Source organism: Homo sapiens, chromosome 2 (assembly GCF_000001405.40).
Source record: "Homo sapiens chromosome 2, GRCh38.p14 Primary Assembly".
NCBI classification, from domain to species: Eukaryota; Metazoa; Chordata; class Mammalia; order Primates; family Hominidae; genus Homo; species Homo sapiens.
Window position 1 is genome coordinate 188,278,083 of NC_000002.12, and position 12,810 is coordinate 188,290,892.

Sequence of the window (12,810 nt, forward strand, 5' to 3'; positions counted from 1 at the left end):
CACTTATGACATCTACGTCTTATATTCCACATGGCAGATTTCATGAGCTTTTTATATTGTATAAATTTTGTACACAGATGAATCCCTGTGACAGAAAATTGTCAAATGTGTTTTCTCCTTTGAAACTCACTTCATCATTGTTAAAATCTCAATAAACAAAACTATAATGCTTTTTATTTCTCAACCCATCACTGAAACCTTAGAAAAACCATTGTTATTATTACTGTATAATCTAAAAATATAATTATTTCTAGATAATCTTTAAGAATTTGCATAACGGAATTTTTAATGAGATTTTTCTGGCTGTCTTGTTGTGCTGAAAACCCAAAACGAGAAATAAAGAGGAGCTATACTGGTATTTTCTAAAGAGAGCCACCCGCAAAAATAAAAGAACTAGTTCCTACCCCTTCTTCAGATAGGAAGAGGATTGGGAATGGGGAAAGCAGCACTGTAGTCCTCAGCCTTTGGGAGGTGCAATGTAAGTTTTTGATTTTGTTTGTTAGGACGGGGTCTCTTTCTGTCGCCCGGGCTGGAGTGCAGTGAGGCTATCTCTGGTCACTGCAACCTCCGCCTTCAGGGCTCAAGCAATTCTTCTGCCTCCACCTCCCGATTTTTGTGTTTTTTGTAGAGACAGAGTCTCGCAGTGTGGCCCAGGGGGGGTCTCCAACTCCTGGGCTCAAGCGATCTGCCCACTCGACCTCCAAAAGTGAGGGGATTACAGGCTGAGCCAACACTCCCAGCAGGGAGGTGTAATATTTATAGAGAGATTTTGTTTCCATTCCACTGGGAGGACGGAGCATTCCTTCTTCTGTGAGTGGGGTGCTCTCTCAGCTACTGTTACTCCTAACTCTCCAGTAAGGTGAAAGGTATAGAGCTTCCTGACTATCCACAGAGCCAAGGCAGCTACTTCTGCTGTTCCTAGAATCCCACAGCTAGACCCTTTTTTATTTGTTTATTTGGGGTAAGAAAATTGTTTTAGATTATCACTCTTCTCTATTCTGATTCTTGGCATTAGTTCTGCCAGCCTTGCTTTCAGTATGCCAAACTCAGTTTTAGAAATTCCAAACGAAACGTTTTTTCTCTCAATAAAGCCTATCATTTGGAAATCAAAAGCACTGTAACTTTCAAGCTATTGTTTGCAGTTTGGGCTTCTGAAAGCCTAATTAGGAGCTCAAAAGCCAGAATGCCTGCACCTGTATGTGAAGGAAATGTTGTTACCAGAACAATGGGTACAAGGAAGCATGTAAAACAATATCTTATTTAATACCATAAAATGTTATCCTGGGCTACTACAACTGACTCACAGAGCTCTGGTGGGGCATAACCAAAACCCAGACCCCATTGTTCTGCCTTCAGCCCAGGCATTTTTTTTTGTTTGTTCGGTGATTGTTGTGTTCTATGTCACTACATTACTTCTCTCAAACATGATCTCTAACTCTTTGTTTTAGACTTGACAAGACCACTTATGTAAGAGGCTTAGTACTCATCTTTATGACAGAAACTATTATATCAATTTAAAATGTAATCATTTTTGTAAACAGAATAATATTTTCATATTGCTGAAAACCAATATTGAAATTGAAAGCTATAGAAAACATCTCAATATAATTGTAGCCTGAAGACTTTCAGTAAACAAACTAAATAAATAAATAGGTTAAAACTCTCCTCTGCCTTTTGTTAGTGGTGTATAGTCTGCAAAAATTACCTCCTTTCTATAAAAATGAAACTAATAATGCTTACCAGAAAAAAAAATCATATTTCTAAGGTACTTTTGACAAGGGTCTGGCTAACCGAAACTAATTTTTTAAACTGATACAAATAGAATATTCTGAAAAAGAATCTCAAATTTGTAAAAAGTCATTTACTTTGACTTTTGTATTTAAGTGTGTATTTAAATATTGTCTCAGTTTAAAGATTTACTATAAAAAGAAATTTTTTTCATAGTAGTAAAAATAATAAGTGGTAATACTCAACTTATTAATATTGTAATCTCTACTACTCTTAAACATTATTTGAAGTAGATGATGACAATACTGTTCAATTATCCATGTGAAAATTCAAGCATTGTACTAACAGACACACACAAAAACCGGATTCCTACATCATATACTTCACTTGAAGAAGACATTTGAATGTTAGTATCATAAAAACATATTATGCTTTGCCTAAAGGCATCTAAGAAGTTTTTGATGTCTGAGCATTATGTAAATGATTTTTCTAAATATCTATTGTGGGTTTTCCTATTTGTTTTAATGTCAAATTGGATTTCACGATGCCCAGTAGGAAACTGAAGTTTTTAAGCCTGTAAACTATAATCATTTTTTATTTCATATCATTCTTCCATTACATAAAATGACATATACAACTACTTTCAAGTATGTGTGTGATTTCTGTATCTTTGTATATTCTTTCTGTTTCCAATAACTGTAAAATTTATTTAAAAGTGATAAAACATATTCAAAATGTTAATAAGTCCTGGGCTTCCTTAAATGTAGTAAATTCCAAACATTTATATTGATTAAAACCCCTCTATCATTAGAGATGTATATTAAAAAAATGCAATCTAAATAAAGATAAGTCTGGAGCCTTACAAAATATTAGTTAAAATGCACTGAATATCTTTAGATATACTTTCCATCTTTCTTTATCCTGCTCTGTTCTATAAAAGACTGACCCATAGAAACTGCATCCAACTGTTTCATTGCCTTCAGATTTTCTATTGGTTTTGGCCAATGGGTAGCCCCAGATGGAAATGGGAATGTAAGAAGTGAATGATGTCAGCACGTTTTCCCTGTTCTCTTACTATCTGATTGTCATTTGATTGTGCTCCTTTACTGAAGGTCATACTATTGCATTATTTAGACTCCAAATTGTTCACTTATAACTGGAATGTTCTTCTATTATTTATCTTTCCACTTTTCTGGAATTTCTTCAACAACTGACCTCACTCCCATGACGTTAAAGTTTCCTAACAGCTAGGATTAAATATTGACTTAGAGTAATTAAAAGGGTGGTACTTCCTGAATAAATATAACTTTAGGATTATAGATAAGATAGGTCCCTTGAGATACCTAGACTTCTTTAATTTCCAGCAAACTAGTAAAGATTATGAAAATGTACATTGTAAGACTGTGAAGATAGCTAGACAAAAGCAGTCTCCAACAAATCTAGATTTTTCTATAATCATGACACTAACTGTTCTAAGTAGTCAGCAGTACTGAAAATCCTAATAATACGGAATTTAAGGTACTCAAACATGTTAATGGGTTATGACCAGAGCTGAAAATTCATTTTGAAAAATCAAAGCTGTAAGACCCTCTCCCTGGTATGTTCTCTTAATACAATATAAAAATCACATCACTCTAAAGTTTGTCATTTCTACACCCTCTTGTATTTAGCAGATCAGACACCTGATAATAAGTTTGATAATAAGAGACTCTAACTCTCTTCATTGGCGTTTCTTACCTCCAATCTCACATAACTTCAATATCTTCTCTTAAATGGTCACCAGAGTGCTTTTTCTAAAACAAAATTGTCCATAAGACTTGCAGTAGCTCCCAGTCCCTATAAAGTTTGAGACCCTGATCCAATGCTCCCCAACACACTAAGCTATTTCAACTTCTTCATATTCTCTTGCTATTTCAGGTTTCTCAGGCTTTGATAATGTCATTTCCTCTGCCATAAATGTTTCTCCCTTTCTTGTCTACCTGCTATACACACAATCACTTTTCAAAATTCAGCTCTCATTTTGACAACATGACTGCTTTTTAAATTGTTACTATATCTTGCCCACAATGAAGAAATATATATCTGTTTTAGTGCCTAACCACATTTATTTATAATTTTATTTATTACATTGTGTTTCCCTCTACTGGACTGTGAGCTCCTTAAGGGTAGAGGCTGTACTTACTCATCATCATCTCTCCTACACTAGCTCAGTGACTGACATTAGAAACACAATACTGAATACTGAATGAATGGTGATGGAACTTCTGGGGCAGGTCTGATCTCCATCATTCTTGCTCCCTAGATGTACATTTAGTCTAGTTCATTGAGCAGACATTATTTTAAGATTTGAACTAAGCTAAAAGATGACTGTAAAAAGAGAAGGAAAAGAAATCCTTCTTCCTTACAAAATAATTCTAAATTATGTATAAATAATTTTATATATAATGTTACCATGTACCAACTACATGTACTAGTGTACATGTTACAACTAGTGTTACCATGTGCCAATATTACATGTTACATGCTACCAATACATGTTACAACTAGTGGGTAAAAGTTTAAGAGAAACAGCATACTTGTATTGTCTCAAAGTATCTCTCCCCAAATATTGATTAATTACCAAGGGAAAATAGTAACTTTACAGTGAAGAAACCTGGCAGACACCATCTATACTGACTTACCATTATTCGTGTGAACTCATGTCAATGTCACGTACCCCAATATGATGCAATGAGGATACTTTACTTTTGTGAAAATTTCCCCCAAAACTCATAACCCCAGTTTAACCATGAGAAAACAGCAGACAACCTTGATTTGTGGGACTTTCTACAAGATACTAAACCATCACCTTTCAAAAGTGTCAAAGTCATGAAAGACAAGAAAAGATCAAGGAACTGTCACAGATTAGAAGAGACTAAGAGACATAAATGCTATGTGGAATTCTGGAATAGAAAAAGGGCATTGATAGAAAAACTGGAGATATCTTTGAGAAGAAAATCTAGGAAACACTATTTTGGACATTGGCCTTGAGAAAATTTATGAGTAAGTCCTCAAAAGCAATTGTAACAAAAACAAAAATTGACAAGTGGGACCTAATTAACTAAAGAGTTTCTGCACAGGAAAAGAAACTATCAGCAGGGGAAACAGACAACCTAAAGGATGGGAGAAAATATGCTCAAACTATGAATCCAACAAACATCTAATGTCCAGAATCTGTAAAGAACTTAAACAATTAAGCAACAACCAAAAAATTTCACTAAAAATGAGCAAAAGACATGAACAGACACTTCTCAAAAGAAGACATACAAACAGCCAACAAACATGAAGAGCTGCTTCACATCACTAATCATCAGAGAAATCCAAATCAAAAGAACAATGAGATACCATCTCATACCAGTCAGAATGGCTAGATTAAAAGGTAAAAAAAGACAGAGGTTGGCAAGGCTAGAAAGAAAAAGTAATGTTTATACATTGTTGAGGGGAATGTAAATTAGTCCAGCTACTGTGGAAAGCAGTTTGAAGCTTTCTTAAAGGACTTAGAACTACCACTTGATCCAGCACTCCCTTTACTTGGTATATATCCAAAAGAAAACAATTAATTTTACCAAAAAGACACACAAACTCGTATGTTTATTGTAGCACTATTCGCAATAGCAAAGACATGGAATCAACTTAATTGCACATTAGTAGTGGATTTGATAAAATGTGGTACATATACACCACTAAATACTATACAGACAAAAAAGAATGAAATTATGTCCTTTGCAGCAACATGGGTGCAGCTGAAAGCCATTATCCTAAGCAAATTAACGCAGGAACAGAAAATTGAATACAGCATGTTCTCACTTATAAGTGGAAGGTAAACATTGGGTACTCATGGACATAAAGATGGCAGCAATAGACACTGAGGACTACTAGGAAGGTGAGGGAGACAAGGGCTGAAGGACTAACTGTTGTGTACTATGTTCAGTACCTGGGTGATGAGATCATTTGTACCCCAAACCTCATCATCACACAATACACCCAGGTAATACACTCAACATACCAAAACCTGTACATGTACCCCCAAATCTAAAATAAAGGTTGAAAAATAAAAAGAAAATCTGGGGATATCTGAATGAATTCTGTAGATTGGTTAAAAAATAAAAATAATCATAGAAATAATCATTATTCTTTCTAGACAAAAATAACACCAAAAATATTTTTATTTTTTCCAAGAAAAATGTACATCTATAGATTAATTTCAGCCAAAGCTATTGTTTTCCTTTTATTTTGACCCATATTGATTCAGTTTCATGAAAAACTTTCACTAACATATCAAAAGTTTTGATAGTTTTACCTGTTTCCATGAAAAGCCATTATTTATTTTATACTTACTTGCCAGATTATGCTAAGTGCTTTACATTTATTAACTCAATTAATCTTGACAACTGTTTCAAAAATAAGAAAACTAATATTAAAGTAGAGTGATACGGTTTGGCTCTGTGTTCCCACCCAAATCTCATGTTGAATTGTAATTCCCAATGTTGGGGAAGGGACCCAGTGGGAGGTGATTGGATCATGGGGGCAGATTTTCCCCTTGCTATTCATGTGATAGTGAGTGAGTTATCATGAAATCTGGTTGTTTAAAAGTGAATAACACTTCCCCTTTTGCTCTCTGTATATTGCTCTGCCATGGGAAGACATGCTCGCTTCCCCTTCTCCCTCCACCATGATTGTAAGTTTCCCGAGGTCTCCCAGCCATGCCTCCTGTACAGTCTGTGGAACTCTGAGTCAATTAAACCTCTTTTCTTCATAAATTACCCAGTGTCAGGTAGTTCTTTATAGCAATGTGAGAATGAACTAATACAGAGAAGAAAGTGACTTGTCCAAGATTTCACAGTCAGTAAGTAGTAGAGAATACATTTTAACCGTGACTTTGGACTCCAAAGCACATGCTTTAAAGCTTTATCCTATGCTTCACCCTTCAAAACTCAACAGCCTGAAGTTCACTTTTATAAGAAATATCTGAAGCTTAATTCGGTAAATAAAATTTAAGCCATGACAGCTTTCTTGACACTTTAAGAACTGTCTTATAAATCTATAAAATTGTTGATGTACATTTCACTAGTTCTCCCCCAAACTCATGGCACTCTACAAAAATATTTCAATGAAAAAAATTTAATTTTTTTCAAGATTTATTATGCTCTTCACTTGTATAATGTACAGATTTCCAAACAGAACACTGCATTTTAGGTAGGGGTGTTCATTTAAAAGTCCTTAACAATTTATTTTTATGTGGAAAATGGATGATCTTCACCTGCACTCTCAGTATACGTGAAAGATTTGTATAACTTTGAAATTGCTTCTGGAGGGTTTCATTTTTGAAATTGAACAATAGTCTTCTGCAGTCACACCCTCTGAAAACCTGCCAATTTCCATTGAACTGATAGCACTTTATCCGTGTGTATTCTCAGATTGCTGAGCTAGAGAGACTGTTGATGCAGAACCAGCATGGCAAGTCTCTGTTCCAACAATTCTTGCCACAGACTGCCTTTTACAGAAAAGCCACTCTCAGAATTATTTTAGCCCTGTTATGGAAAAGATACTCAATGAGAGAACGTCTTTTGTTGTTCGGTTGTGATAGGCGCTTTGCATTTTAAAGCATGATGACATTTTCTCAAATCACATTATGTCAGGCCCAAGCGTATAGGTGCCTTGCTTAGCTTTGCTTTTTTGTTAAGCCCTATCAGCAAGCCTGAGTAAATTCTGATACAGGATTTTGAAGAGAGTTAATAAATTAGCATTCTAGTGAAAGACTGCAAATCATAATTTTCAAATAAAAAGTTTCCTTTGTCAAAAATCATTTTAGACAATTTATTTTTTACTCTATTAAGAAAATAAGACTGTAATTCTATTTGCAATGCAATGTCTTTGTTCTATTTTTGTATTTTAAGTATGTGAGACTTCAAATGAAAAAAATATCTTCTTATCGCAGCAGTTTTTCAAGCAAGTAAAACTGCTTCAAGCAAATTTTCTAGGCCTGAAAGCTCTGTGGCAGAAGACCATACCTCAGGAGTCTATTCCTGGACATTAGATTGGGCCTTTCCATGAAGCTGAGTGTTAGCTCCTGTCTTTTGGTCATGGCTGGACTCCATATAAGGTATTCATTCACTATCATCTAGAGTGCACATGAACTGGAACAAGAAGCAGAAATGTGACCCTTGATTAAGATCTGTGCTTTCTCTCATTACTCGTGTTAAGTAGGGCTCTTCTATTCCAAGTATTATTTATGTCCTGCAATTGTTGTAGAAAAATGGCCCTTTCACTCTTAGCAACAACATGGAACTTAACAAGTGGTAATTTAATAGATTGGAGAGTAAAAATATAATTTGAATGGGTGCAGAGTCAGGTCTTTTCAAGTTGAAAAAGCATCCTTTTTCAGGATCAGAAGAAAAAATTGAATAATGAAGTGAATTCAAGTAAATTGATACATGAGTTGAACACACTTCTAACAGAAGACTTTTGTGGGCAAAGGTAGGAAATAGGAAGTTGTGACAAGGAAACTTAACAGAATGGATCCAAAGTTCATTTGGAAAAATAACTTTGAGAGAATAGTGATGAAACCTTTGAAAGGGGGAGAAAATAATAAAGGAGAATTTGCCCCAGTAGATATTTTAAACAATGATAGTTTGAGATAATTAATAATGTTCTATTGCAGAAATACACTGACTATTAAATGGGAAAGGACTACCGCTAGCCCACATGATGCCCAATTCTTTCCAAGGAAGCTCTGCAGGTGCTTGGCTAGGAGCCGAAGATGCCTTTGTAGTTAGAAAAGATATCCCTTTCTTCTTGCTCGCAAGCTCCATTGGCTTGGCTGGCAAAAGAGCTTGGCTGGATTTTATTCTGCACTGGACCTTTTTTAGGTGTCTTACTGCATTTTGCATGCTGTTTGACCACACCTGGAAGTTCTGATTGAACAGACCCTGTTTTATATCTAAGTTAACATATGATAAAAATTACTGCTAAAATCACTGGACAAAGAATGGATCTATTCAATATGTGGTGTTGGACACCTAGGTCATTATTCTGGGGGAAACAAAAGCCCTATCTTTAGATTTCACATCAGAATAAATTGAAAAACGAAAACTACAAAATACTAGAAGAAAATATTGCTAATTAGTTTGGGTGAAATGTCATTATATTTTTTAAAAACTCAAGAAATCATAAACCGATTACATTTAAAGAAATTCTACATAGTTTTAAAATAGAACAAAATAATTTAATTATTTTAATTAAGTTAATAAGACAAATACCCGTTTTTTGGCTAGAGGTTAATATATTTACCTCATACAGAACCTTTAAAAATCAATAAGAAAAAGAAAAAATATATGAAACAATAGAGAAAAGAGAAAAATGTACAGAATATATAAATAGCCACCTCACAAAAGAAAATATAAACGGTTATTAACTTTATGAAAACTTATTCAGTTTTATTAACAGTGAAAGTAATAAAAATTAAAGCGATTGAGCTGCTAATTTTTCACTAAGATTATTTGAAAATTTAAGTGTTTGGAGAAAAAAAATTAAGGGCCAAGATGGAATAGTTTACATGATGTCATTTAGGTAAACGAAAAATGCATATGAAAATAAATATTTTGAAAGAATACTTACAAAAAAGTAGTAGTATGGGCCGGGCGCAGTGTCTCACGCCTGTAAGCCCAGCACTTTGGGAGGCCGAGGCGGGCGGATGACGAGGTCAGGAGATCAAGACCATTCTGGCTACGGTGAAACCCCGTCTCTACTAAAAATAAAAAATAAAATAAAATAAAAAAATTAGCCGGGAGTGGTGGCGCGGCGCCTGTAGTTCCAGCTACTCAGGAGGCTGAGGCAGGAAAATGGCGTGAACCCGGGAGGCGGAGCTTGCCGTGAGCCGAGATCGCGCCACTGCACTCCAGCCTGGGCGACAGAGGGAGACTCCGTCTCAAAAAAAAAAAAAAAAAAAAAAAAAAAAGGAGTAGTATGTACGTTATACTTCCACATGAAAAAAATGGAAAGAAAATTGTTAAGTGTCTGTGGGTGCTGGGTAATGCCTTTCCTCTACTCCTGGTTTCCATGCAAAAATATTTTACTGGGTCTTTACTTACTTGCCCTTGGAGAGATGTTATGACATTTGGTAGATAAACTTAGGAATAAACTTGGGAAGAATTGCTGGGCATGCCAGGCTCAACTACCTTTCTCTCTCTTTCATTCTTTGGAATAGAACTCAAAAAACAATTTAAATCCTTTTTCAAAGGCACTGTCTCCTTTCAGGTTAGAAGGAGGCCAGGAACTACGTTGACTGAGGCTGCTGTTTCAGTTCTTTGCTTTTGGATCTACCAATTCAAATCCGTTATCTGTCAATCATAGAGTAATATTTTGCTCTCATTTTTTTGGTCAATTTATTCCCCACCCAGGCATAAAGAAGGGATACTATTTATCCGGGTCTCTCAGAGGCCTCAACAAACCTTGGAGCATATAGAGAAAATGTGAGCAATAGGTACTTTTGGTGATGGGAATACAGGTGATATTTATTTCCCTTTTGCAGTTGCCCTCCTATTTTTTTTTCTTTTTTTGCAATGGTCATGTTTCATGTTCTTAATCAAGAAGATCAAAATAAAGCGATTCTTTCAGAATGACAGATAAAATGATAGAGGTTTGAAGGTAAATGTAACACAGTAACTTTGGAACCCAGAGCCCCTAGGAACTCATAGGATATTTGGCCACTGTTACACATGACAAACAGAAACATGACCCCCTTTCAAATCACATGACTGAAATTTGAATTTCAGTCTTGGTTTTCATTACAGTTTTTAAAAAGTTGTCAAATACTTTAAATGTTGGTTTTGCAGAAATATAGGGCTAAACAACCAGCATATTTTTTGTGTGCTTTTGCAATAATCAGAAATAAAATTGGTTTTCTTAAGGTAAGTAACAGGTCGTTTTTTTGTCTTAGCCAAAGTTCCCTTAGTTAGGGTAAGAGAAACTTAATTCTGGTTTGAGCAAGAAAATTAATTTAAAAATACTGGAGGCCAGGCGTGGTGGCTCACACCTGTAATCCCAGCACTTTGGCAGGCCGAGGCGGGTGGATCACGAGGTCAGGAGATTGAGACCATCCTGGCTAGCAGAGTGAAATCTTGTCTCTACTAAAAATACAAAAAAAAAAAAAAAAAAAAAAAAAAATAGCCGGGCATGGTGGCGGCCGCCTGTAGTCCCAGCTACTCGGGCGGCTGAGGAAGGAGAACGGTGTGAACACGGAGGCGGAGCTTGCAGTGAGCCAAGATCGCACCACTGCACTCCAGCCTGGGCGACAAAGCAAGACTCCGCCTCAAAAAAAAAAAATAAATAAATAAATAAAAATAAAAATTACTGGAAAGCTGCTGAGTTTCTATCAGGGTCTATATGAACCTATGATGAATGTGAAGAACTTTCAAATGGAAATCTGAGGTATTTGCAGTAGGTAAAATTAGGCGTATTTGTCATCGTAGTGCCCTGCTAGGCTTCTGCAACCCTTTTCTTTGGCATCTCCCTTCTTCACTTCCTGGGGCATGCTATAAATTTGTTTTAAAATCTTGTTCCATTTGGTTCTATTGTTTTTAAAAACTTGGTTCTGACACTCTTGAGATTTTTATACCTCTAAGCCATTTCACAAAGAAGATCATATCAAAAGTCAGGTTATAAAAATTACAAAGCAATAGCAAGTTTAAAGACTTTAAACAGTGGGAGAAAATATAAAAGTGAGTAATCTTTAGCACTGTATGTAACGATTGGAAAAAGACAGTTATGAGGACTCATCTATCTTCATTTATCCATTCATGATGGATGTGCTTTGTAGCCATATTTTTTTTTCCCTCTTTAGGATCTTCCAAGTCTTATGGATAGGAAAGACAGATCTCTAAAGAGGCTATGATATGCCTTTAGGAAACTGAGGATGAGGCCGGAGTAGTAAATAACTCTTACTTAGAAGGAGTATATAGGGTCTCATCCCTGAGAACATGGGAGTTAGTTATGTAAATGTTCAGATGATTTTCAACATTGTATATGGTAAGGAAGAATTTTTTAAAAAGACCTTCTTACAGGTACTAGAGGCAAATGAATGAGAAATAAGTACATGCTATGGGATTTTCCATTATTTCACAGGATGGAAAGTTTGATCTCTGTAGCCTGATTTTGTTCTTTGGCCTTGAACTTGTTCAAGTTGAATTGTGTGTCCTGAACACTGATCTAGTTGTTCACAAACTAGGGTCAGCCAACTGTAGTGGTATGTTGATGTATTCTTGGGAATCGAGAGTTATTATAATCTTTTAATATTATGGCTAAAAAACCCAAAATATCTATGTGTAAATATATAATGTAAGCATGGATTCGTTCATCTCATCAACCTCCTTATTCCTAAATACTGGACTACCATTTGTTTTATTTTTATAATCACATTGATACCAAGTGATCATCTAAATGACATTATTTAATTTTTAATGATTGTTCATAAATTAATTGCTTAAGAGTTATTTACAGAAAAAAACTAGCATTTGTCCTGAGATTAATATTTTTAATATAATTATTTTTATGTGTGCTTGACTATTGTGATAAAGAGAAAAACAGTTAAAAGAGGACCCCAGCCAAGTTATTATGAGGACTGATTTCTGATATTAGCTTTAGTACCTCCAAACCATGAGATTTGGGGAAAGTCACTTAAGAGCCCTAGACTTCAGTTACCTTGTATTTAAAATAAGGGAGTTCAGCTGGAACTAGTTAATCTGTAAACATAGTTTCCATTTCAAAAATTGTGAAATGATGCCTTTTTAAATGGAAAAAGCATTAAGGAGAAGAAAACTGATTCAGTTACAGGGTCTTTGGGGGAAAATTTCTAGCACCACCCTCTCTCCTAATTACAGTAAAACATGGTGGGATATAAGAACCAAATATTTATTGAGTATTTTCTCTGCGCCTATCACAACTCTATTTTAACTCCTGTAAATGTGACTGTGACTCCGTGAGCTAGATTATAGAATTCCTGTTGACAGTTATAATTGGTAGGCACAGAAAGCGTAAAGATGGAGT

At 35.2% G+C, this 12,810-nt stretch overlaps 1 long non-coding RNA gene across 1 annotated transcript in view, besides 1 other annotated feature; it reads right to left on the reverse strand.

Annotated features, from left to right (window-relative positions):
* Positions 1-9,609, reverse strand: part of LINC01090 (long intergenic non-protein coding RNA 1090) — a 252,096-nt gene extending 242,487 nt beyond the window's left edge. The window contains exon 1 of the long non-coding RNA NR_126396.1: positions 9,385-9,609. This is a non-coding gene — a long non-coding RNA (long intergenic non-protein coding RNA 1090). The remainder of the gene's footprint in view (positions 1-9,384) is intronic.
* Positions 842-1,536: an enhancer, noted in NCBI's record as "OCT4-NANOG-H3K27ac hESC enhancer chr2:189143651-189144345 (GRCh37/hg19 assembly coordinates)". NCBI's record gives its function as "activates a minimal SCP1, AML or CMV promoter by ChIP-STARR-seq in primed H9 embryonic stem cells {active_cell/tissue: H9 hESC(primed)}" and the evidence as "EXISTENCE:reporter gene assay evidence [ECO:0000049][PMID:30033119]".
* Positions 9,610-12,810: the final 3,201 nt, after the last annotated feature.